Here is a 22814-nt window from a genome sequence, read left to right on the forward strand (position 1 = left end):
CTCTTCCCCATCTTTCAACAGATAGTTTGCATCTCCTTCTCCTCAGTCACAAGGAGTTAATAAATTAATATTTTGCATAACACTCTTTGTTAAACTATTCTGTCATATAGATAAGTGTTTCTTAGTTAAATTCAATTGAATGTCTACTGTGAATAAAATTTAGATAAGACCAGTGCCTACTCCCAAACGACGATTTTTAGATTAGATGGCTCCTGCTTGTCTGTCACTAGGTATGAATTCCTTCGATCTTTAGTGATACACTACATGTCACAGTTGAATGGTTACCATTTGGAAGCACCATTTCTTGCCCAATTTTAACCTTCAGAAGCATTGTTGTTAGGGTAAAGATTTATCTTTAACCATTTTATTCAAAGAACTTTCTATGTTACTTTCTTCTTTCCACGAAACGGGTCTATTTTTCTACGAAAAACCTACAGAAGGATTTCCTCTTGGCAGAAGGCATGTCTAGTGAGCTATTCCAGTAAACCAGCTGTTATTTTTCTCCTGGCCAGCAGACAATGCTTCACTTAGATATTATATCTGAGGTCTCATCTGAATTTAGGAAAATGAGACTGCTTGTTTCAGAGATAATCTTCCAGCTGTGCTTGTGCAAGTCTTATTAAGCCCTTGAAAGAGTAAGAGGAGAAGGAGGGTGAGGGAGAAGAGGAAGAAAAGAGGAGGAGCAATGACAACAAATGAATTTTTGAAAGTATGTCTTAACTACCAGACATAGAACTATAGTGTTTTAATGACAGGTCTCACTGAATCCCATGAAAGTACTGAGATATTTTTTATAGATGTATTTTACAGATGATAAAAACAGAGGCAGAGAGAGTCTAAGTAAATTGCACAATGCCACATAGCTACTAACAGTCAAAGCAAGATTCAAACTGAGCTCTGTCTGATATCAGAGCTCTCATCCATGCACTGTGGGAGAACCCACTGGGAGATACTACAAGGGCAATGTGTTATCACATCTTGTAGCATAGGCCTATCACTCTGGTAGCATCAGAGCAGTCAGCAGAAACTCTAGTGGATCAAAATCATGATCTACCATCTAATTTATTGGAGGGCCTCCAATAGCCTCAGGAATCAGGCTGGATTTAGGAATGTGAGCCCCCCCTTCCTCACCAAATCAGCACTTTATAATTCATATGCTATGTACCTTCTATCCACTGCACCGAAGAAGTTCAGTTCTAAATTTTCTAATGAAACTATCAGAATGATTAAAGAGAACCTCATGGCTGTCAGAGAAAATATCAAAAGTCAGTCTGATGCCTGAATTGGCCTTGTTGACTCATATATCCTCTCTTGTTACAGGGTGAATAGCAAGTATTTGGCCATTGATTAATGTTACATTACTATTATTAGTGAGGCCAAACATTCAGACTTTTTTAATTATCCAAACTCCTGGGCTAATTAATGCAGTTTTGAAAGGGATTGGTCAGGACTCACAGTTTATGTTTTTATATAAGTGTTTAGCATAGGTCTTGACAGGAACATCCCAGTATATTAATTTAATATTCCCAGAGTTACTTATCAAAAGGCTGTACAACATGATGTTTTGCAAAATCAAAATAGTTTATTATCTTATCATCATTGAATTTTTTTCATTTATATTTCAATTCACAGGGACATAAGCATATCAATTATAAAGCAACCTATAATAACTAAATAGAAACTAGCTAAAAGGCTGTGTAAGTATTGTACACTATGCCTAATATATTACAGAGCTGAGTAACAAGACGATTTTCACAAAACACGCAAATGCTGATTATTCACATTACCTGATAGGAAGTTCCTTGTAGAGTTTTTCCTTGATAGGTATGTATGTTGTTACTTAGAAAATCATCTTCATTTAGATCTAAGAAAAGAGATAACTGTTACATACAGAATATCAGACATTACAGGATTTAGGAAGTTTCGGTGCAATTTAACACTCATGTTTTTATTTAGTCTGTAAGACATTACATTGGCTACGTCAAAAATATTTTTTTTTGTTAAATATATGCTATTTTTCTTTTTTTTTAACAAGAAACAGATCAAAATAAAATAGAAATTTAACAAAATAGGGATGCCGCTGACCATCTGTGTCCCTGAGGAAGTGATGGAAATTCACTGTGACTCCCTTTCTTGGTAATAATAGGATTGTGGACTAGCTACAAAAGCCACTTCTAACTTCAACATGCTATGACTCCATGCAGTTATCACCTCACCTGTTTCTATTAAACTAAGCTTTCCACCCCTGGCATTTTGAGCTTCATTAGCTTAGGTCTTCTCAACATGAATTATTTATGTTGAAATTGTTCTATGCATGCTTTAGTGAAAGCTTTGCAATGTAGCATCCATTTGCTTGCAGCTAAATGAAACCTTTTCAAATGCAGCAGCACTTCCCTTTTAGCTCCTGCAAATGGGAGCTTCATTTATTTAAGTCTGAAATATATGGTATGTTAAAAGAGGACAAGACTTTATGGGTCACTTAATCCAAGCCTCTTATTTTACAGATAAGGAGAGTGCAACCCAACATCACCTGGTCAGCAGACCAGGGCCGTTTCCTTTCACTTTCACTCCTATTTACTTGCAACCATTGCTTCAGTTTTCTACTATTCCTCATTCTCATATTCTGCAGTGGAAGCAGGGACAGGCAAGTCCTATCCTCCATGCACAGTGATAAATAGGTGCAGATTTTTCTCCAGATCTCCATCATAGCTATAGTTAAAAGATATGTTAAATTCACAGCTCAGTCTCAAAGTTATTTGCACCAATAACTTAATATTTAAAATGAGAGTAACCATACAACAGAATTCCAGAAAGTACCTAAATTTTAAACTGAGCTGATTTTTTGATCTGGTTCTTTGAATCAAGAATTTATGTCACAGGGTCAGGCTGCTAGAAGCTGAGCTTTTGCAGCTTGGTTTTTAGTTTCTGAACTGGGAAAAAAAAATATTGCCTCCCCTCTTATTCCTTTCCATCTTGTCTCTTTTAGTCACCTTTTTACAGGAATTTTGAATGACTCCTTCTATAAGCATTCTTCTAGGTGTAGAAAAAGAACAGTAAAGTGGCCTCCTGTGTTCTAGAATCTGGAATCAAGCTGAGAAAATAAGATACGAATATGTGCAATGCACTTTCATAACAACACAAGGCAGAAAAATGAGTGATTCACACACAATACTATGGAGAGAGACCACTATGACTCAGAGAACTTGTGGAAGAGACAAGGCCAGAATGGAAGCTTGAAGAATGGATACAGTTTGAAAAAGTGGAAGGAAAGGAAAAGGTGTAAATATAGCAGTGATTCCATGAACCCTGGCCTATTATGCAGCATAAACGGAACATGTTTAATTAAGTGTAGAGATTGAGGCTGGTTAGGCCAGAGGGCAATTCTGGATATAGAGTAAGAGGAGGTAGGGCTGGATAGGTGACTGAGGCCAAATTGTAATGGGCCCTGAGTACCAGATGGAAGAATTTGGGCATAAACCATTAGACCAATGTTGTAAATATAAATATCTACAGGAATCAAATATATAACTAAATGAAGTTAATTAGATCAAGAAGGCAATGGGAATTCTACAGTGAGCTTAAAATCCAGCTCCACAGCTAAAGAGTAGCCATGGCTCTGAGCTCTCTCAGTTGAAGTCACCTGAGACTTTGGGTCCTGGATTGGAAATTTCCCTCATGTTTTTCAAGGATATACAAATATACGGATTTTAATGTAAAATTTCCTGATTTTTAAAACGCCATATGGCCCCAAACAAGCTTTTCTTCTGAATAAATTCAGCTATAGAGGTACCATTTTACAGCCCCTGCTGTAAAAAATGGGGGACCTTTAAGGGCTGGGACTAAATTAGGCACACTTAAACCTTTGGTGTCTGGTCTTACACGTTTTTGTTTATTTATGATTCCCAAATATTACTCTCCAAAAATGTTTTATAAAGACAGAATCTATTTGGTCCTAAGTAGCAGCAAAGGCAGGAGTTGAATTAGACAATATGCAGGCTATATTTTCCAAAGTTGGCCACAACCATGCCTCCCATTCCGTGTGTTTTTTTGCAAAGTGACTTTCCCATTCCATCAAGAAATGGAGTCTAATTCTTCTCCTGTTGACTCTGGGGTGATCTTAGTGACTCACTTGTCACAGTAGAGTGCAGTGGAAGTAATATTTTGTGACTTCCAAGGTTAGGTTAAAGAAGCCTTGTATAAGCCGGGGGCAGTGGAGGACCTATATCCCAGCTGCTTGGGACGCTGAGGCAGAGGAATGCTTGAGGCCAGGAGTTTCAGATCAGCTTGGGCAACAGAGTGAGGCCTTGTCTCAAAAAGCAAAAAAACAAAAAAACAATTACAAAACAAGAAACCTTGCAGCTTCTACCTTGGGTTCTTGGGATGTTCATTCCTTGATGCTTCTTCCTGTGATGTGTGAAGCTCCCTTGAATGTTGCACACACTTGAAACCCAACCCTGAGGCTGGGAGAAGATGGAGTGACATGAAAAGGCCACATACATGTTCTGTAGTTGGCTGCCCGGCTGAGCCGGGCCTAACCTAGACTAGTTGTCAGACATGTAAGTGAAGGAGCCTCTGTATGACTCCAGCTACCAGATGTCGAAGTCCTCCCCAGTCATTCAAGTCTTCCCAAATGAAGCCTCAGACATCACATTGTGAACCAGTTCCCCAAATGAATTACTGATCTGCAAGTGTGTGAGCCTAATAAGATGTTCTTTTATACTACTAACTATTGGAATGGTTTGTTTGCCACAATAGATTATCAGAACATGCATGAACTACATGGTAGATTACCAACATCAATGTGCATAAAAATATGCCATCCAGCATAAAAATTGAGATTACAAGTGCCCTTCAAATACAGAGGCAGCAAGGGATGATGTAAAAAAGTTTTTATTTCTAATCAGCTTTTAGGTTATTCTAGCATAGATACTTCTGACCATATTAATTTTCAAATAGGCAACCATAATCTCAGGAAGAACTCCTCTGAAGAACTGAAGGATCCTAAGATTCATTTGTATAAAACACTAGAAGTCTAAGTGGTCTCATCGTTGAATTCAGAAAGCCTTCCTCGGCTATATGAGGCATCACACCATGCAGTGGGTACCCTTTCCTCAGGGAGTTTATTCCCATCTTGTAAGCAAGCATTTAGAGGTATGAAGTAGGACTTCCCTCTGGTATTCCTCATGTAGTCTAGTTTGGCCAGAGTTAAATTACCTGCTCTTAGGAAACAAGTTTTTCTAAAATTAAATGTGTGTTTCCTGAAAATTAACCAGAATGGTGAATATATTTGTGAATTTATACCATCTTTTGCCATCTTAAAATTAAGCTACTTGGCATCAGACCAACAAAGAAAAATAATTAATAAGATCTTGAAAAATTAAGCCAAAATATTTATATGCTTACATTGAAGAGGCTGGCCAAATGATATTGACTAGAATTCAGGAGAGAAATTAGGTTTCAAACCAATGGTAATTCAAATGGTGGACTAGAGTAGAAGGCCTTAAGAACACCTCTTCTTTCCCACTGGGTTCCTCCTTTTATAATTAATCTCATTAAGCCATATGTAAAGAAGATTTATTTATTTATTTATTTATTTATTTATTTATTTATTTATTTATTTTTTTGAGATGGAGTCTCACTCTGTCGCCCAGGCTGGAGTGCAGTGGCGCGATCTGGGTTCACTGCAAGCTCCGCCTCCCAGGTTCACGCCATTCTCCTTCCTCAGCCTCCCTAGTAGCTGGGACTACAGGCGCCCGCCACCACGCCCGGCTAATTTTTTGTATTTTTGTAGAGACGGGGTTTCACTGTGTTAGCCAGGATGGTCTTGATCTCCTGACCTCATGATCCGCCCGCCTCGGCTGCCCAAAGTGCTGGGATTACAGGCGTGAACCACTGCGCCCGGTCAAGAAGATTTATTTTTAAAGTAAGTTTGCAGCAGTATAGATGAAGTTAATGTTTCTCTTATTACTAACATTGTTTTCTGACTTTGTCTGGTCCCTCACTTCCCTTACTAACATATGCCATTTTTCCCCAGCTTTTTCTTGTGGAATAGTCTGTCACAGTTACACTGATTGATTGAAAAATTTCTGAATCTCCAAATATGTTTTGTTTCCTTTTTATTATTTTTTAAATGTTGATTTATTTTTATTCTTTGTACTTTCTGGTATAAAATATGAAAACTCTGTTCTTGAAATTATCTTTAATTAAATCATAACTTAATCTTAGGTAAACTCCAATTCACAGATTCAAAAGTTTGTTCTTCTCAATTCTTTTTTATAAACTCAAGTCAAAATAAATTTAAATATTTTAAAATGGACTTTAACTTACTAAAATAAATATTATAAATATTCTTCCTATCTATGATGCTGAAAATTTAACAATTAACCTGAATTATAGATTAATTTCTCCTCACACCTAAGCTATGCCAATTTTTTAGTTGTAAAGTCCTAAGCATTCAATTTATTCTACATTATTTTACAGATGTAGTCTCTTTTAATAGAACAGATGTAGGCTTAGATAAAAATCTCCTTAGAAGAAGGAAATGGACTAGATAAACTAAAAATATTTTGCATCTGGAACTCAGCTTATTCTGATAAATTTGGTCTTAACCTATATAGTACAGTCATGTTGTTGAGCTATGGATTAATACATCAGACAGAAATCTTAGCTAAATATAGCCTATGGAATTTTTTCATCAGGTCCCAATACTCTTTAGGGCTGAAATGCTATTAATATAATGTGTTAATGTAGAAATATCATTTTGAAATTGAAATTGAGGAAAATTACTTTTTTTGGCCTTGAATTTTATAAGATTGCTTAGGAGTTAATGTCACTCCTACAGTTTATTTCCCTATATATTTTCTTCTATTTTATTGAAGCCATCTTTACAATTTCATTAGTATCTAATAAAATCATGTGGGTTGTGGATGACAGCAATGATGTACTTTCCTATCTTTATCTCACTGAACTCCACAGACTGCCTATCCTCAGGCACAGGAAACTACTCTTAAGTAGTTATGCAATTAACAGCTAAAAAGGAGTGTTTAAAATGAGAAAGAAATATTTTAGGTTGATACATAGGTCACTAATTACTTAGAAATACTCTGAGCCTTCCAAATGAAACCACTATACCCATAAAATTTGAGCCTACAACTTGTGGTCTTGAATTTCTCCCTTCAATTTATAATGTTACAGACAGCCTTGGTCTCTGGCCATCAACTCTTCCTAGCATGGCATTAATTTCTAGGAAATGTCCAGTGACTCAACTGCTACTACTGAAATGTCTGCTGAGGTTCTTGGACACACACATGCACACGCACTCGCTGAACATGCATGGTCACTCAAGACCCTGAGAAATATCAAAGCTGGGAAAAATTCTGTAAAGCCTTTCTTTCTTCCTTCTCTGACAAAGCAACCAGAAGTAACTCATCTAAGGTCAGGATTCTTTGCTGCTTTTTCAGTGTAGCTATAATAGAATTCCGTGCCTATTATTCCCAAATTAACAAAACAAAACAAAAACATACATAAGAGAAAGGTAGTTTTAGGAAATAGAATGCTTGAAGAAATTTATGGAAAAATTTACATCTAAAATAATCTGTAACACCATTATACCTTCTTTATCCATAGATCAACATACAATAATCTAAAATACAACATGTGCTTATAGAAGGATTAATAGATAAATGGAATGGCGGATGAATAGAGAAACTGATAGACAAATGTTTGATTAACTGACTGAAGGTGTGGATGCATATAGCTGGCATCCATGTGGTAAAGACAGAGTCCAATCCAAACATGATAGAGAGGGAAGTGGAGCAAAGTGGCTGAATAGAACCCTCAGTAATCATCCCTCTCACAGGAATACCAACTTGAATGGCTATTCACACAAGAGAGCACCTCCATAAGTAACTAAAAATGAGGTGAGTGATCACAATACCTGGTTCTAACATCATATCCTTGAAAGAGCCACTAAAAAAAGTAGGAAAGGTGGTTTTGGATTGCTGACTCCACCCTCCTCCTCTATCTCCTGGTAGCATCCTCATGGTGCTGAGAGAGAATATTTGTGCTTGGGGAAGGGAGAGCAAAGTTATTGTGGGACTTTGCATTGACCTCAGTGCTGTTTCTCACAGTGGAAAGCAACACAGGGCAAAATTCAGCTGTCCACTACAGGGGGAGCATATAGACTTGCCCCCACATTCTGACTAGCCCCTCCACAGTGGGCTGAAGCACTTTGGGGTCCTAAGTAAACTTGAAAGGCAGTCCAGACAACAGGGCCTGAAATTCCTGGGCAATTCCTGGTGCTGTGCTGGGCTCAAAGCCAGTGGAACTGAGGTGCACATGATCTAGTAAGATATCAGCAGGAGTGGCCAAAGGGATGCTTTCATCACCCCTTTCCCAATCCCAGGCAGCACAGCTTGCAGCCTCGGGAGAGACTCCTTCCTTCTGCATAAGGAGAGGACACAGGAGAGTGAAAGGACTTTGTCTTGCAGCCACAGTAGAATAGGGCACTAGGCAAACTCCTAAGGTTCCCAATCCATTCTTCACTCCCAGGTGAAATTTCTAGACTCTTGAATCATCAATAGCTAAAATAATCAATTTTTTTCTCATTCCAATAACACTTGGGGGTGAATACCAAGCAGATCAACTTTTGATACGGTTTTTCATCTTTGTAAACTCTTAAGACTTTCTGTTTTATTACTTGCCTTCCCAAAGTTAAGTACTTTTAATTATGAAATTACATACTATTAATATGTTATTCTATACCTGACTCCTAATTTGCTCTCCTGGAAATTTTTACATTATAAAATGACTCCATTTTATATTCATAATCAAGGTTATTTCTCTTAAATTTTTTAAGAAGACTTAAACATAACTATTAACATATCAATGTTATCTTTAGAGAGTTTTCTCGTGCTCTAATTTTTAATATATTTTCAAATTTTTTGTACATTAAAACTTTCAGTTTTCTTTTCAATTGCTTATTTGCTTCAGCAGGCAACTTAACCAGATTCCACTTCCTTTCTGTACATGTGTCTATGTGATATATATACACATATATATATGTATACATGTATATATTAATAGTTTATAATAATGCATATTCTATTCTATCTTATTTGGTTTTCCTTTTTAAGTAGACCATAATGGTCTGCTTATTTTCATGGTGGAAGATGTGAATTTTTCTTACCTGCCCTTTAAACTACTTTGGGAAAATGCAAAGTCAGCTGAACTAAATTTAGCAATTACCTTTTAGCTGACAGGGCCTTCTGATGTGGGAATCATTCTTATGCTTGCTGTGTTCCTGCCAGATTTTGTCATTCACAGTTTTTCCTTCTAAAGTGAAGCAGATAATTGGTTAGCAGAATTCATAGTAACATTTGTCCAGTAAGTATAAGACATTTGAAATCAAAACAAGTTCAGCACAGGATTTGCAACTTGGTAAGTGGTATCTTAAGAGAGCTCTAGTTCTAGGTGATGCAGGAAGTCAGGGACCCCGAACGGAGGGACCGGCTGAAGCCATGGCAGAAGAACATAAATTGTGAAGATTTCATGGACATTTATTAGTTCCCCAAATTAATACTTTTATAATTTCTTACACCTGGCCTGTCTTTACTGCAATCTCTGAACATAAATTGTGAAGATTTCATAGACACTTATCACTTCCCCAATCAATATTCTTGTGATTTCCTATGCCTGTCTTTACTTTAATCTCTTAATCCTGTCATCTTCATAAGGTGAGGATGTATGTCGCCTCAGAACCCTGTGATGATTGTGTTAACTGCACAAATTGTTTGTAGAGCATGTGTGTTTGAACAATATCAAATCTGGGCACCTTAAGAACAGGATAACAGCAATTTTCTGGGAACAAGGGAGATAACCTTAAAGTCTGGCTGCCTGTGGGCCGGGCATGATGGAGCCATATTTCTCTTATTACCAAAAATGGATAAGAGAAATATCGCTGAATTCTTTCCCCAGTAAGGAATATTAATAATTAACAGCCCTGGGAAAAGAACGCATTCCCAGGGCGGGGCCTCTAAAATGGCCACCCTAGGAGTGTCTGCCTTATGTAGCTATGGATAGGGATGAAACATGCCCTAGTCTCCTGCAGTGCCCCCAGGCTTGCTAGGATTAGGAAATTCCAGCCTGGTGAATTCTAGTCAGACTGGTTCTCTGCTCTTGAACCGTGACAATGCATGCACATCAGGACATGGAAGTTCATTAGTGATTCTAGTTTCACCCTTAACTTCTGCCTTGTGATCTTTTGTCGCCCTTGAAGCATGTGATCTCTGTGACCCACACCCTATTCGTGCACTCCCTCCTCTTTGAAAATTGCTAATAAAAACCTGCTGGGTTTGTGGCTCGGGGGCATCACAAAACCTGCTGACGTGTGATGTCTCCCACAGATACCCAGCTTTAAAATTTCTCTCTTGTGTACTCTTTCCCTTTATTTGTCAGACTGGCTGACACTTAGACAAATAGAAAATAACACACGTTGAATTATCGGTGGCGGGTTCCCCCATATCAGGGAGTTCTAGTCCTTCATGGACAACAACAGGTATCCTGTGGGCTACCCACTTATTCCCATGAACTACATAGGCACTTCACCATATATGATAGAATGCTGTTACTTTAACGTCTCTTGATAGCTTATGATTGCATTATTCTTTGTAGTTTTCTTGAATTCATAACCAATTATTATTACTTTTCTGAGACAGCGTCTTACTCTGTTGCCCAGGTTGGAGTACAGTGGTGTGATCATAGCTCATTGTGGCCTCAAATTCCTGGGCCATAGCTATCCTCCTGCCTCAATTTCCCAAGTAGCTGAAACTACAGTCATGTGCCACCAGGATAGGCACATTTTTTTTTTTTTGTAGAGACAGGGTCATAGTCAATTGTTTTTATGCATCCTGAAAAGGTTAAACTATCCTTACCCTCTAGATTCTCCATCATTTCTAACAAACTAATTGTGTAGAAAGAACATTGGGCTGTGATAGTTTCAAGAAACTCTAAGATCCTTGAATGGAATATAAATGATTTGCTCAGCTTTGTCCTCCCAACATCTAAAGCAGGGCCTGGACATGTGAAGAAATGAATTGCACCAAATGGAAAATTGGAGTCCCTTCTAAATTACTTACTACAGATAAATCATTCTACATGTTGTATCATGCATTGATAACACAAATGTTGAATAATGCAACCTATGCATAGCATGAAGACAAACTCAGCATGCTGTGTTGTTTCTAAAGTCACTATTTGCTCATATGTTTTGATTATAGAAAAGGCAGTTGATCATCAAGAACTGTGTTAGGATAGAAATATTGGTTGTACTGTATGTGCATGCAGAATAGACTGAGAATGGATCTAGATGAAAAATAAAATGTTGCCTTGCTTCCTTTTATTTAAGACTGTGCACTATTCAAATTAGGGCTGATATTCAAAATATTTAACAACGAGTGACTGCAGGACCCTGATAGGATCCAGCGCCTATAGATGCTACTGCTGGGAGAATTGAAACCTGATTAAAACGCAGATATCCTTCAAAGTTGTACCCATTGTGGGGTATCACTTTAGTCAGAATGAGCTTTTCAGATCTTACCAGGAAATTGGTTTTTAAAAAAGAATGAAATGAGTATGAGCACCTGACTCCTCTGCTGGGGAGAAGGAAAGGGAAAAGGGTACCCATAAGTTTGGCACACTACATTAAAAAAAATTATTGAGGCCAGGCATGGTGGCTCACACCTGTAATCCCAGCACTTTGAGAGGTCGAGGCAGGCGGATCACGAGGTCAAGAGATCGAGACCATCCTGGCCAACACAGTGAAACCTGTCTCTACTAAAAATACAAAAAATTAGCTGGGTGTGATGGCACGCGCCTGTAGTCCCAGCTACTCTGGGGGCTGAGGCAGGGGAATTGCTTGAACCCGGGAGGCAGAGGTGGCAGTGAGCCAAGATTGCACCATTGCATTTCCAGCCCGGCAACAGAGTGAGACTCCGTCTTAAAAATAACTAAATAAATAAAATTATTGACTGGATGATCCAGATGTTTCACATTGTGAATGTTTTATAATTACTGACTCCCTATTTGCTGTAAAGTAAAAAGAGAGATAATCTATTAATTTTCTAAAAATAATGAATAGAAATCGATTTTTACTTTAGAATTAAGGTACAAACCAAACTGATTGCATGTATTATTACTATGAATGCTATCACAGAAACTAAAGAGAAGATTTGGTGTGTGAAATGTTGTAGAAGAGACTTTTATAATGAAACCACTTTCTGCTAATTTTTTATTGTCTCCTAGATTCACAGATCTAAAATGATCTCTAACAAGTCACCTTGACCACGGAGCAGCCAAGCTACACATGGAGAGCTGGAAGATGAGCAGCCAATGAACTACCAAAGAGGATTATTCTGTTTAAATATAAACGGAAAATATTGCAAATAAATCAATGATTTCTTTGTCATAGCCATTTAAAGTTAGAATGAAGCCACTTTTAAAAAATGTTCTTCTATATAATTCAAAGACAACTCAATTTGACTTTCATTAATCAGTTTTGTTGCTTTGTGGCAGGAGCAGGAGAAAAGAACTTGTGGGGAGACAGAATACATCGTTTACACTTGTAACCTTAGGAATCACTAACCAAATATTTTATTTTCAGACATAAATCTCCGGAATAACCTGGAAGAATAAAAGAAAAAGATATTTAAGTCTAGATTTAATAAATAACATTTTAATCAAACAGAAATTAGAATATGTGCAACACTTTGGGAACAGAAATAAATTCTACCTCTAACCGAGGTCTACCTATGGTCTTGAATTTTCCTAACCCTAGGTGGCAAATTACAGTAAATACAAGTACAATTTGGGTCTGTAAATTTCTATGCAATATGGAGAAACTGATATTCATAAGACCTGAAAAAAATAGTAAGTCTTTTTACGTGAAGGTATCTCAGGATAACCAAATAGTTACTAGGGGGGAAGTGCTTTTGCAAATAAATATGTCAATAAATACAGAAAGAATGATGTAAATTGTATATAACCATTATGCAATCTCTAATAAAATAAAAGATCTGGAAAATAATCATCAATTATTGATAAAGCCTAATTGAAAGGCTGATGGGCAACTTTATGCCAGTGGATCCATGTGATACCATCTGAGCCCACTGAGCAATATCACTGTCAAAAAAATATGATCATGCTAATCAATTCATGTGTGTGGGTGAACACACACATATCTCATAACTAACATTGTTATAGCTTAAGTGTTTTCTACTATTGATATTCTTTATTGTCATTAAATTAAAACTGAGTTTACCATTTTTTCAAACTCAAAATTGTGAGCAAAAACATGCATAGATAAGGTTTCCTTTTTGTTAATTTTTTGTTTCCTTTTCATTTTTTAATGCAAAATGGTTAGGACATCTCTTGGCACATAGCAAGCATTCCAAACAAATAAAGCTATTTATAATATTGTAAAGTGAGGTAAGTGAATAACAATGAGAGTAGACGTAAAGCTTACAATACAACAAAACAGAAAGTATGCAGTCACTGAAGACCAACTTTTAAATATATATATAAATATACATATTTGAACCTTTTCATACTTTATATATATTTGAATCTTATCACACTTTGAGATTTAACTAAAAGTTTACAGGAAACATACAGTAGAGAAAAACATGCTTAAAAAAACACAAGGATTCAATCAGCAAAATTCAAAAATCTGGGAAATTCTTCAGGACACAGACTCCAGTTTCTTCAACAAATAAATGAAAAGACATAAATTAAGAGACCTGAACTGAATCCAGCTGAGCTTTTTGGATCCTGATTTAAATAAACCAACTCTGAAAAAGCATTTGAGTCTGTCAGAAATATTGTAATAGTGACTGTATATTTGGCAATTTAATGTCATTTGTCTTGTTTTGTTCTAGTGCAGTAATGGTATTGTGATTATGCTTTTTAAAAAATAATTCTTATTTTTTAATAACATACACTGAAGCATGAAATTATGTGTCTGGCATCTGCTTTATTAATACAAAAACAGTGGGGATGCAGTTGAGGTAGTAGAATGGGTAGAAATAAAATTGACTATAGGTTGATCCTTGTTTAAGTTTGGTGATATGAGTTTATCATTAACTCTTCCCCTATGTATGATTGAAAATTTCCATAACAAAATGTTTTGAAACAGAAGCAGAGGATAGGACTATGCTGACTTGACTGCTAATCAATTCATGTGTGTGGGTAAACACACATATCTCATCACTAACTGTTACAGCTTAAGTGTTTCCCACATTCATATTCTTGATAGTCATGTGCTCGCTTCGGCAGCACAGATACATATTCTTGATAGTAATTAAATTAAAACGAAGGTGACCCTTTTTAAGCTCAAAATTGTAAGCAAAAACATGCATATATAAGGTTTCCTTTTTCTTAATCTTTTGTTTTTAATTTTTAATGCAAAATGCTTAGGACATCTCTTGGCATATAGCAAGAATTCCAAACAAATAAAGCTGTTTATAATACTGTAAAGTGATGTAGGTGTATAATAACATGAGACATCATTTCCATCAGGAGAGTGGTAGGCCAAAAAAAAGAAATTAAGGAACTCAAAGGAGTCTTCAATTTTATTTTAATTGCTTGAAATCTGAGGCCCACCTTAACTGATCTGGTTTATGTTTGAAAAATTGTAAATTGGTCATCATCAGACACTTTCCCTTTAATTCAATCCTCCTTCTGTCATCTATGTTTTGGTAGCCTATATTCTGCGGAAGCATCAATCATAAGCAAACGGCTACTATTTTGTTTAAGTACGTTCCTTGGAATTAGTGAATTTCTTATTCATGGTCAGAAAAACAGCCTCACATACATGGCGATAAGGCTGAGAAAGGCCCAGCCAAAGCCCCTTCTTTACTCCACCTCGTGCTTCAAATGCCAGTGTTGTAGTTTAAATAGTTAATTGTAACTAAAATACAACTACACCAGCCTGACAGGTCCCTAAGCTGTTAATCACCCAATTACCTACTTACTATGGATGTGTTTTATATTTTTAACTGGGAGAAAGCTTTAAGCAGGGGGAATAAAAAAGAAAAAAAAAGGAAAGAATATGAAAAAGCACAAGAGCTTTTGAGAAAGAGGACACCCAGAGAGAACATCACATAATTTACAATTGGCCTCAGACCAATCCAGGGTGCAAGGAAGCCATTCTTCTGTATCCTCGGCAACCAATCTGAAAATTTCCCCATAAACCGGCTTCCTGCCCATGTGTAATTCGTGCTTATCAATTAAAATCCCATTACCTTATGCAACATGTGTATGTCATGTCCTCTGGCAGCTGGATGTGCTGAATGTAAAGCCAGGCCTGACCTAAATAACCTGAAACTCTTTGCAAACACATTTTTATGTGGATTAGAAAAATACTTCAGAAGATTTATAGGTCACTGATAGAAATATGTTTTTATGGAGGCTCCCACTTTAATCTAGGCCTGGTTTAGACACATGTTTCTTCTGAAAAATTTAATTTGCACATCCCTGTCTACTGGAATGTCACAACACAGCTTTCCCATGCATCAGCATAAACAGAGAAATGATAGCAAAGCAATCCACATCTAGATTTGTACATGACAGCTGCAAAAAAAAAAAAAAAAAAAAAAAAAGTACTTTGGCACGAAGTCCACTAAAAATTCACATTCAACATTACAGAACTAAGGGAACATGAAGTTTACCAAGTAAATTTGACTTACTTTCTCTTTTTTGGTTTTGCATTCTCTAAATTAGAAACTCCCTGTAAAATAAAATAAAATGAATAAAATAAAATAAATAACATAAAATAAGACAAAACTATATCAAGAGATCTGAAAGAGAATTCATTCATTTTCTAGTATAATCCAAACGTAGTTCCTTTTGTCTTTTCCCTAGTGAAAAAGACTGATATGTCCCCTGTTGTATTTTAGTAATGTGTCACAGAAGTTTGGCTCACATTTTAACTTTTTTTTCCCTTTTGTCTTTGTAACTTTGAGAAAGGTAGGATATTTCCTTTATTAACGAGGGCTTATATCTTATTTTAAGCCCTTGCCAGTTTAAAAAAAAACAACAGGTCTTTTAAATTAAAACATCCAATTAAATCCTCATTATCTAAACCTCTGTCCCTCCATCAATCCACCAAAACCAAGGAGAGAGACACATACCTGGGTGTGTTAGTTGTATCATAGAGTGCCTTCATTTGAGAAAAATGGAAAGTAGCCTATCACAATACCCTCAGGGTGTTGAAATACATCTGTGATTCATCTGACATTTTTCTTCAGATCAAGTGACCATTGTGTAAAATCCCTTACACTTTTGGGGAAAGAATTTGTCACATTTTTCACCATCCTTGAAACAGCTTAAACTGCCCTAGACACCTTTAAAAGCTCTTCAGATTCTGTCTTTATTATTCACCTACTCCTCCATTTAAAAAACATTTACTGAATATCTACATGAAAGGCAACCGATTGTGTTCTGGAGAGGTTCATTTGTTTGGCATGGTAGGAATTTACATACTAAAGAAAATTGCAACGAATATTCCACTTTTGAGGGGGAAAAACACAAATGCTAAGGCTAAAAGGAAAGGTGAATGGAAACCAGAAAAAGGAAGTTTGATTCTATTATTCAGGTCGTTAATAGTAACAGCCTGGGCACAGTGAAATCCAGGATAACCTTTCCCCAAGATAGTGATCGAAGGGGCCATTTATCTAATCTTTATTTTGTTTGTATCAAGATTTTTAACTGCAGAGGACAATTTGAATTTTTTATTTTCCTAGTGGTTGAGCAGAACGTTGCTAAAACCCCACACACTGAAACAGTCAGTCCCTGAACTCGAGGAGCACATATTACCAAGTTTGAAATACTTGTGCATGACCCATAGGACATTGCTTGTAGGGAAGAGGTGGTGGATGGGGGTTGTAAGTAAGGATGTGGGAAGCATGAATTAAGCCCTAATGTGAGTGAGGATATCAGCAGGCCTTTGAGGAGTTAGTGGTCAGATGGACCACTCCTTCCATTCTCTATGCTTTGTCATCCTGTGCCCTAAAAGTATGCAATCTCTATTCAAGGTCTTTTTCTGAAATTGTTTAGGTCTTGGGCCAGATCTTTCCAAACCTCAGATTAGAAGCTAATTGTGTTCCTTGCCCCACAATCAGTAGCCACTCACATTTAACAAGCTTTGTGACAATCATGAGGAAAGAGGATGGCCATCCATCTTTATAGTAGTGTTTTTCTGTTATGTGTATTTGGAACTCACTAGGAAAGAACAAGCAAGCTCCATGTTCCACAGTCTATGCAATCGGGACCAAATATGTCTCAATAGTCAAAATCCATCATCCTGAGTCTCATTAGTTTGTCGTATGGGTTTAGGTAAATCTCTTGGGATTATGAATGTTGCCGTCTTCAAAATAGTCTACCTTTTGTGAAAATAGACAAGATTTGCAATAAGGAATATGGGAAACATTCGATACCTTTTAATTTTTAATTATTCAAGTCACAGTATTTTGGAACCAACTTCTTATATCAGGATTCCTCTGCCTTTGCTATCAAAGAGATTAATTCCAGATGGCTCACAAAATTTATATGCAATCGAGCAAGAGAGTTTGAATTTGGAAAGAAGATGTATTACGCAAACATAGTCTCCTGTATCACCTGGGTGAAGCTTTTGTTAATACAATTAGGTATGGGACCCACACAAAGCTTAAACACTTGTAACAGCTGATTGTGGTGAAAGGAACATAATTAGCTTCCGGTTTGAAGTTTGGAGACATCTGGACTGAGATTAAAGTAATTTCCTAAGACCACAAATAGAGATTGGTTACTTTTACTATGTATGTTGTCACAATATTCTCTAGGGACTATCCACTTTGTTCTGGTTTTACTGGAATTGGGGTCATCCAATTTTTCCTCATGATGAATCAGTTTAGGTTTGGGAAATTTTGTTAAAAGACTTTCTTGTAATGAATATTTTGGGCAAAAAATTGAGCTGAAACTTCTTTTTAATCTCTATTAAGATGAAAGAGTTAATGTATTTCTCCTTAGGCAACCTGCTTCCTACAAGGGTAGGGAGAGTCAGGCACATTAAATGTGGGTCTGGAGTGTGATTATATGAGGAAGAGGGATTACTTAAACAGGCCAACATCTACTTAATTAGAATAATAGGTCTATTCCCTCGGTGTTGCCTAGTTGTAGATTACTACTGAACTGGTTAAGCAATTTTTAGTACTGCTTATACCAGACTCAAAGCAGCTGTGGAAAATGTAAATGACTTTCAATTCTGACTGCTGCTTACATAAGCAGACTGTCACGTATATTGGAGTTCACACCCTGGGTACTTTATTCCTAGAGGGGCAAGTCAAAGAAAGACTACATACACTTTTATTTTTAGAACCACAGCTGTGTATGTGTGTGTGTGTGTGTGTGTGTGTGTGTGTGTGTGCGCGCGCGCGCACGCGCGTGTGTGTGTGTGTGTGTTCTACTCTGAATTCCAAAAGAAAGATACCACTTTGGAGAGTTATTTCAGTGAAAAAATGTCTAGTCCTTTAATTTGACATTTGCCATGAATGCTGGGTAAAACTTACTCCTGTTAGCCTTCACTTCAGTATCCCCTAAGTTAGGCAGTAATAATTCTTCTTACCTTTCATTCACTAGGGAATGTGTGGCTTAATTTTATTTTTCTCCCTAGCAATTGTTAGAAAATAAAAAATGAAATGTAGAAAAATTATTACAAATGAACCAACAGAAACTAAGAAACATTTCCAAGCTATGTTATTTTTAAGGTAAATGAGGGTAGACTCTAACAGCAAAGCACTTCCGTATATAAAATTAGGTCAAAGTTTTAAAAAATAGAAAGAGAAGATGTACCTTAAAAGAACAGATAAATTGTAGATATCAAATATATTTCTATTCTCATGCAGAGGTTACAGATGACTATCCTTTGGGATTCAGACTAATATGTGCCTGTTTCTTGCTTTATTGCTTTGTAAACCTCACTTTCAAATTACAAAGTCAAAAGGAAAAATGTAAATATGTCAGGAGTTGTTGTTGCCTAGCTAATGGAAATGGGAAAGATGATTCTGTACCAGAGAAAACTGATTGGCAGCAATTGATGATGTAAATCCCATGGTGAATTTTTAGGACTGTAGAGCTGATGCAAACTTTGACTTGAAAATGAAAAAATTGAGGCTCAAAATGATAAATGGACTCATTTACGATCAAGCATATAGTGCTTTACCTTAACTAAATACTGGTGGATTTAAAACATTTCTAATGTATTTTTTTTGGAATTGCACAAGTCATTCATTTCTACATTCACATTTTATTCAACAAACACTTATTGAACATCTACTATGTACCAGACACTGTTGTAGGGGAGAAAAGATTTATTTCCTCACCTATCACAAAGTTCATGGCTGATATTCCTATAACAAAAGAGAGATTAGCAAGATAAAATAATACACACTTATTTATTAAAAGTTTTATGTGGCATAAACCTTCAGAAATGAAGTCCCTAAAACTCAGAGAAAAGTGTATTTTTTTTAATTGCCGTGTAGAAATATGATTGGAAGACAAAAGGTATGATCTGATGGTAATAAACTGGAGGGAATTTAGAAAGGCCTGTTTGTTCAGCTTCCTCTTGGCGTCTCTGTGTGACATCCCTTTTCTCTGAGTATAGAGCAGAATACCTGTCATTTGAGAGCCTTCAGAGGAGGAGAAGGGGAGAGTAATTCAGAGAGTGATCTTCTTAGATTTTATGGCCTGCTTCAGGGTAGAAGGAGAGAGGGGGAATTATAATTCTATGGCCTGTTTCAGGGGAGAAAGGGGCAATGGAAATTTCGGTTTCTATGGTCCACTTTAGGAGAGAAGGGGCAAGAGAAAGTCAGAGATATCTTCCTGCTTCTGCTGTTTTCTTAATTTCCTTCACTTCAAGATAGTCAATGATATGGTTAGGCTTTGTGTCCCCACCCAAATCTCATCTTGAATTGTAATCCCTAGGTGTTGAGGGAGGAACTTGGAGGGAATTGGGTCATGGGGGTGGTTTTCCCTATGCTGTTCTCGTGATACTGAGTGAGTTCTTACGAGATGTGATGGTTTCATAAGTGGTTAACAGTTCCTCCTACTCTCTCCTGCCACCATGTGAAGAAGGTACATTCTGCCTACTTCCCCTTCTGTCATGACTGTAAGTTTCCTGAGGCCTCCCTCACAGTGGTTTGACTATGAGTCCATTAAACCTCTTTCCTTTATAGATTGCCCAGTTCTGGATATTTCTTTATAGCAGTGTGAACATGATCTAATACATTCAGTATGCCAATGTGTGATATTTTAAGGTAGCATTTCATGTACCCCTCATTGTTTTAGATGCAAAAAAGAATTGCAAGTAGTCTTTCTTTCAATTATCTATCACCAGTGACTGTTGATCTCAGAATCCTATTGAATTCCATTTTTTTAGCTTTAAAGATTAAATGAGTTAACCTATATAAAATCCTTACATGATGTCAAACACACTGGAGATACATATAGATGACATTTCTTATTAGATACATTGTTTATTAATAGTTAGATAGAATTCTGATTTTGAAGTGAATTGAACATGGGTACAAACACATATGTAAATATGTATAACACACATATAAATTCCTATTAAAATAAGCTAATTCAATTTCTATTTTGTTTAATTCATTCTCTTGCAAAAATGAAGATTGTTCACTTGCATAACTAAAATGGTTATATTAATATTAAAATACAGTGATTCCAAAAATGCCACACGCAAACTGAATAAGTATGTTTCTGGATATTTCTTGGCTTCCTATGTTTCAACAAATTTCCTACAGATTTTCAAAGAAGACATGACAGTTTATTTTTAAAATTCCAGTAGACATGTAGCAAAGAGGATGATTATGAAACTTCAAAGGTAATAGACAGGGTGGTTCCAAGATGGCCGAATAGGAACAGCTCCAGTCTACAGCTCCCAGCATGAGTGACACAGAAGACGGGTGATTTCTGCATTTCCATCTGAGGTACTGGGTTCATCTCACAGGGGCTTGTCAGACAGTGGGTGCAGCCCACTGAGTGTGAGCCGAAGCAGGACAAGGCATCGCCTCACCTGGGAAGCACAAGGGACCAGGGAATCCTCTTTCCTAGCCAAGGGAAGCTGCGACAGATGGCACCTGGAAAATCGGGTCACTCCCACCCTAATACTGCACTTTTCCAACAGTCTTAGCAAACGGCACTCCAGGAGATTATATCCCACACCTGGCTCAGAGGATCCCATGCCCATGGAGCCTCACTCATTGCTAGCACAGCAGTCTGAGATCGAACTGCAAGGTCACAGAGAGGCTGGGGGAGGCTTGAGTAGATAAACAAAGTGGCTGGGAAGCTCCAACTGGGTGGAGCCCACCGCAGCTCAAGGAGGCCTGCCTGCCTCTGTAGACTCCACCTCTGGCAGCAGGGCATAGCCAAACAAAAGGCAGCAGAAACCTCTGCAGACTTAAATGTCCCTGTCTGACAGCTTTGAAGAGAGTAGTGGTTCTCTCAGCATGGAGTTAGAGATCTGAGAATGGACAGACTGCCCCCTCAAGGGGGTCCCTGACCCTCGAGTAGCCTAACTAGGAGGCACACCCCAGTACGGGCAGACTGACACCCCACATGGCTGGGTACCCCTCTGAGATGAAGCTTCCAGAGGAAAGATCAGGCAGCAACATTTGCTGTTCAGCAATGTTCTCTGTTCTGCAGCCTCTGCTGCTAATACCCAGGCAAACAGGGTCTGGAGTGGACCTCCAGCAAACACCAACATACCTGCAGCTGAGGGTCCTGACTGCTAGAAGGAAAACTAACAAACAGAAAGGACATCCACACCAAAACCCCATCTGTACATCACCATCATCAAAGACCAAAGGTAGATAAAACCACAAAGATGGGGTAAAAACAGCAGAAAAGCTGAAAATTCTAAAAACCAGAGTGCCTCTCCTCCTCCAAAGGAATGCAGCTCCTCGCCAGCAATGGAACAAAGCTGGATGGACAATGACTTTGACAAGTTGAGAGAAGAAGGCTTCAGATGATCAAACTTCTCCGAGCTAAAGGAAGAAGTTTGAACCCACCGCAAAGAAGCTAAAAAGCTTGGGAAAAGATTAGACGAATGGCTAACTAGAATAACCAGTGTAGAGAAGTCCTTAAATGACCTGATGGAGCTGAAAACCATGGTACAAGAACTACGTGACGAATCCACAAGTTTCAGTAGCCAATTCAATCAACAGGAAGAAAGGATATCAGTGATTGAAGATCAAATGAATGAAATGAAATGAGAAGAGAAGTTTAGACAAAAAAGAGTAAAAAGAAATGAACAGCCTCTAAGAATTATGGGACTATGTGAAAAGACCAAATCTACATCTGATTGGTGTACCTGAAAGTGACGGGGAGAATGGAACCAAGTTGGAAAACACTCTGCAGGATATTATCAAGGAGAACTTCCCCAACCTAGCAAGGCAGGCCAACATTCAAATTCAGGAAATACAGAGAATGCCACAAAGATACTCCTTGAGAAGAGCAACTCCAAGACACATAATTGTCAGATTCACCAAAGTTGAAATGAAGGAAAAAATGTTAAGGGCAGCCAGAGAGAAAAGTCAGGTTACCCACAAAGGGAAGCCCATCTGACTAACAGCGGACCTCTCAGCAGAAACTCCACAAGCCAGAAGAGAGTGGGGGCCAATATTCAACATTCTTAAAGAAAAGAATTTTCAACCCAGAATTTCATATCCAGTCAAACCAAGCTTTATAAGTGAAGGAGAAATAAAATC

The 22814-nt window shown here is 37.4% G+C and overlaps 1 protein-coding gene across 5 annotated transcripts in view, besides 3 other annotated features; it reads right to left on the reverse strand.

The window, feature by feature from the left end:
* Positions 1–22814, reverse strand: part of SAMSN1 (SAM domain, SH3 domain and nuclear localization signals 1) — a 174190-nt gene that overhangs the window by 115008 nt on the left and 36368 nt on the right. For 4 of the 5 annotated variants that reach the window (NM_001395858.1, NM_001395857.1, XM_047440941.1 and 1 more), the window contains 4 exons: positions 15741–15781; positions 12641–12678; positions 9247–9333; positions 1788–1864 (listed from right to left, as the gene is read on the reverse strand). In NM_001395858.1, the coding sequence (NP_001382787.1) occupies positions 1788–1864; positions 9247–9333; positions 12641–12678; positions 15741–15781 (243 nt within the window). Of the gene's footprint in view, positions 1–1787; positions 1865–9246; positions 9334–12640; positions 12679–15740; positions 15782–16184; positions 16222–22814 lie in introns of those variants that run through there. The other variant, NM_001395856.1, reaches the window with a different exon arrangement.
* Positions 2426–2565: an enhancer, noted in NCBI's record as "active region_18276". NCBI's record gives its function as "activates an Ori minimal core promoter by ATAC-STARR-seq in GM12878 lymphoblastoid cells {active_cell/tissue: GM12878}" and the evidence as "EXISTENCE:reporter gene assay evidence [ECO:0000049][PMID:35858748]".
* Positions 15889–16650: an enhancer, noted in NCBI's record as "OCT4-NANOG-H3K27ac hESC enhancer chr21:15988445-15989206 (GRCh37/hg19 assembly coordinates)". NCBI's record gives its function as "activates a minimal SCP1, AML or CMV promoter by ChIP-STARR-seq in primed H9 embryonic stem cells {active_cell/tissue: H9 hESC(primed)}" and the evidence as "EXISTENCE:reporter gene assay evidence [ECO:0000049][PMID:30033119]".
* Positions 16651–17411: an enhancer, noted in NCBI's record as "OCT4-NANOG-H3K27ac hESC enhancer chr21:15989207-15989967 (GRCh37/hg19 assembly coordinates)". NCBI's record gives its function as "activates a minimal SCP1, AML or CMV promoter by ChIP-STARR-seq in primed H9 embryonic stem cells {active_cell/tissue: H9 hESC(primed)}" and the evidence as "EXISTENCE:reporter gene assay evidence [ECO:0000049][PMID:30033119]".

The sequence above is a fragment of the Homo sapiens genome, chromosome 21 (genome assembly GCF_000001405.40).
Source record: "Homo sapiens chromosome 21, GRCh38.p14 Primary Assembly".
NCBI lineage: Eukaryota > Metazoa > Chordata > Mammalia > Primates > Hominidae > Homo > Homo sapiens.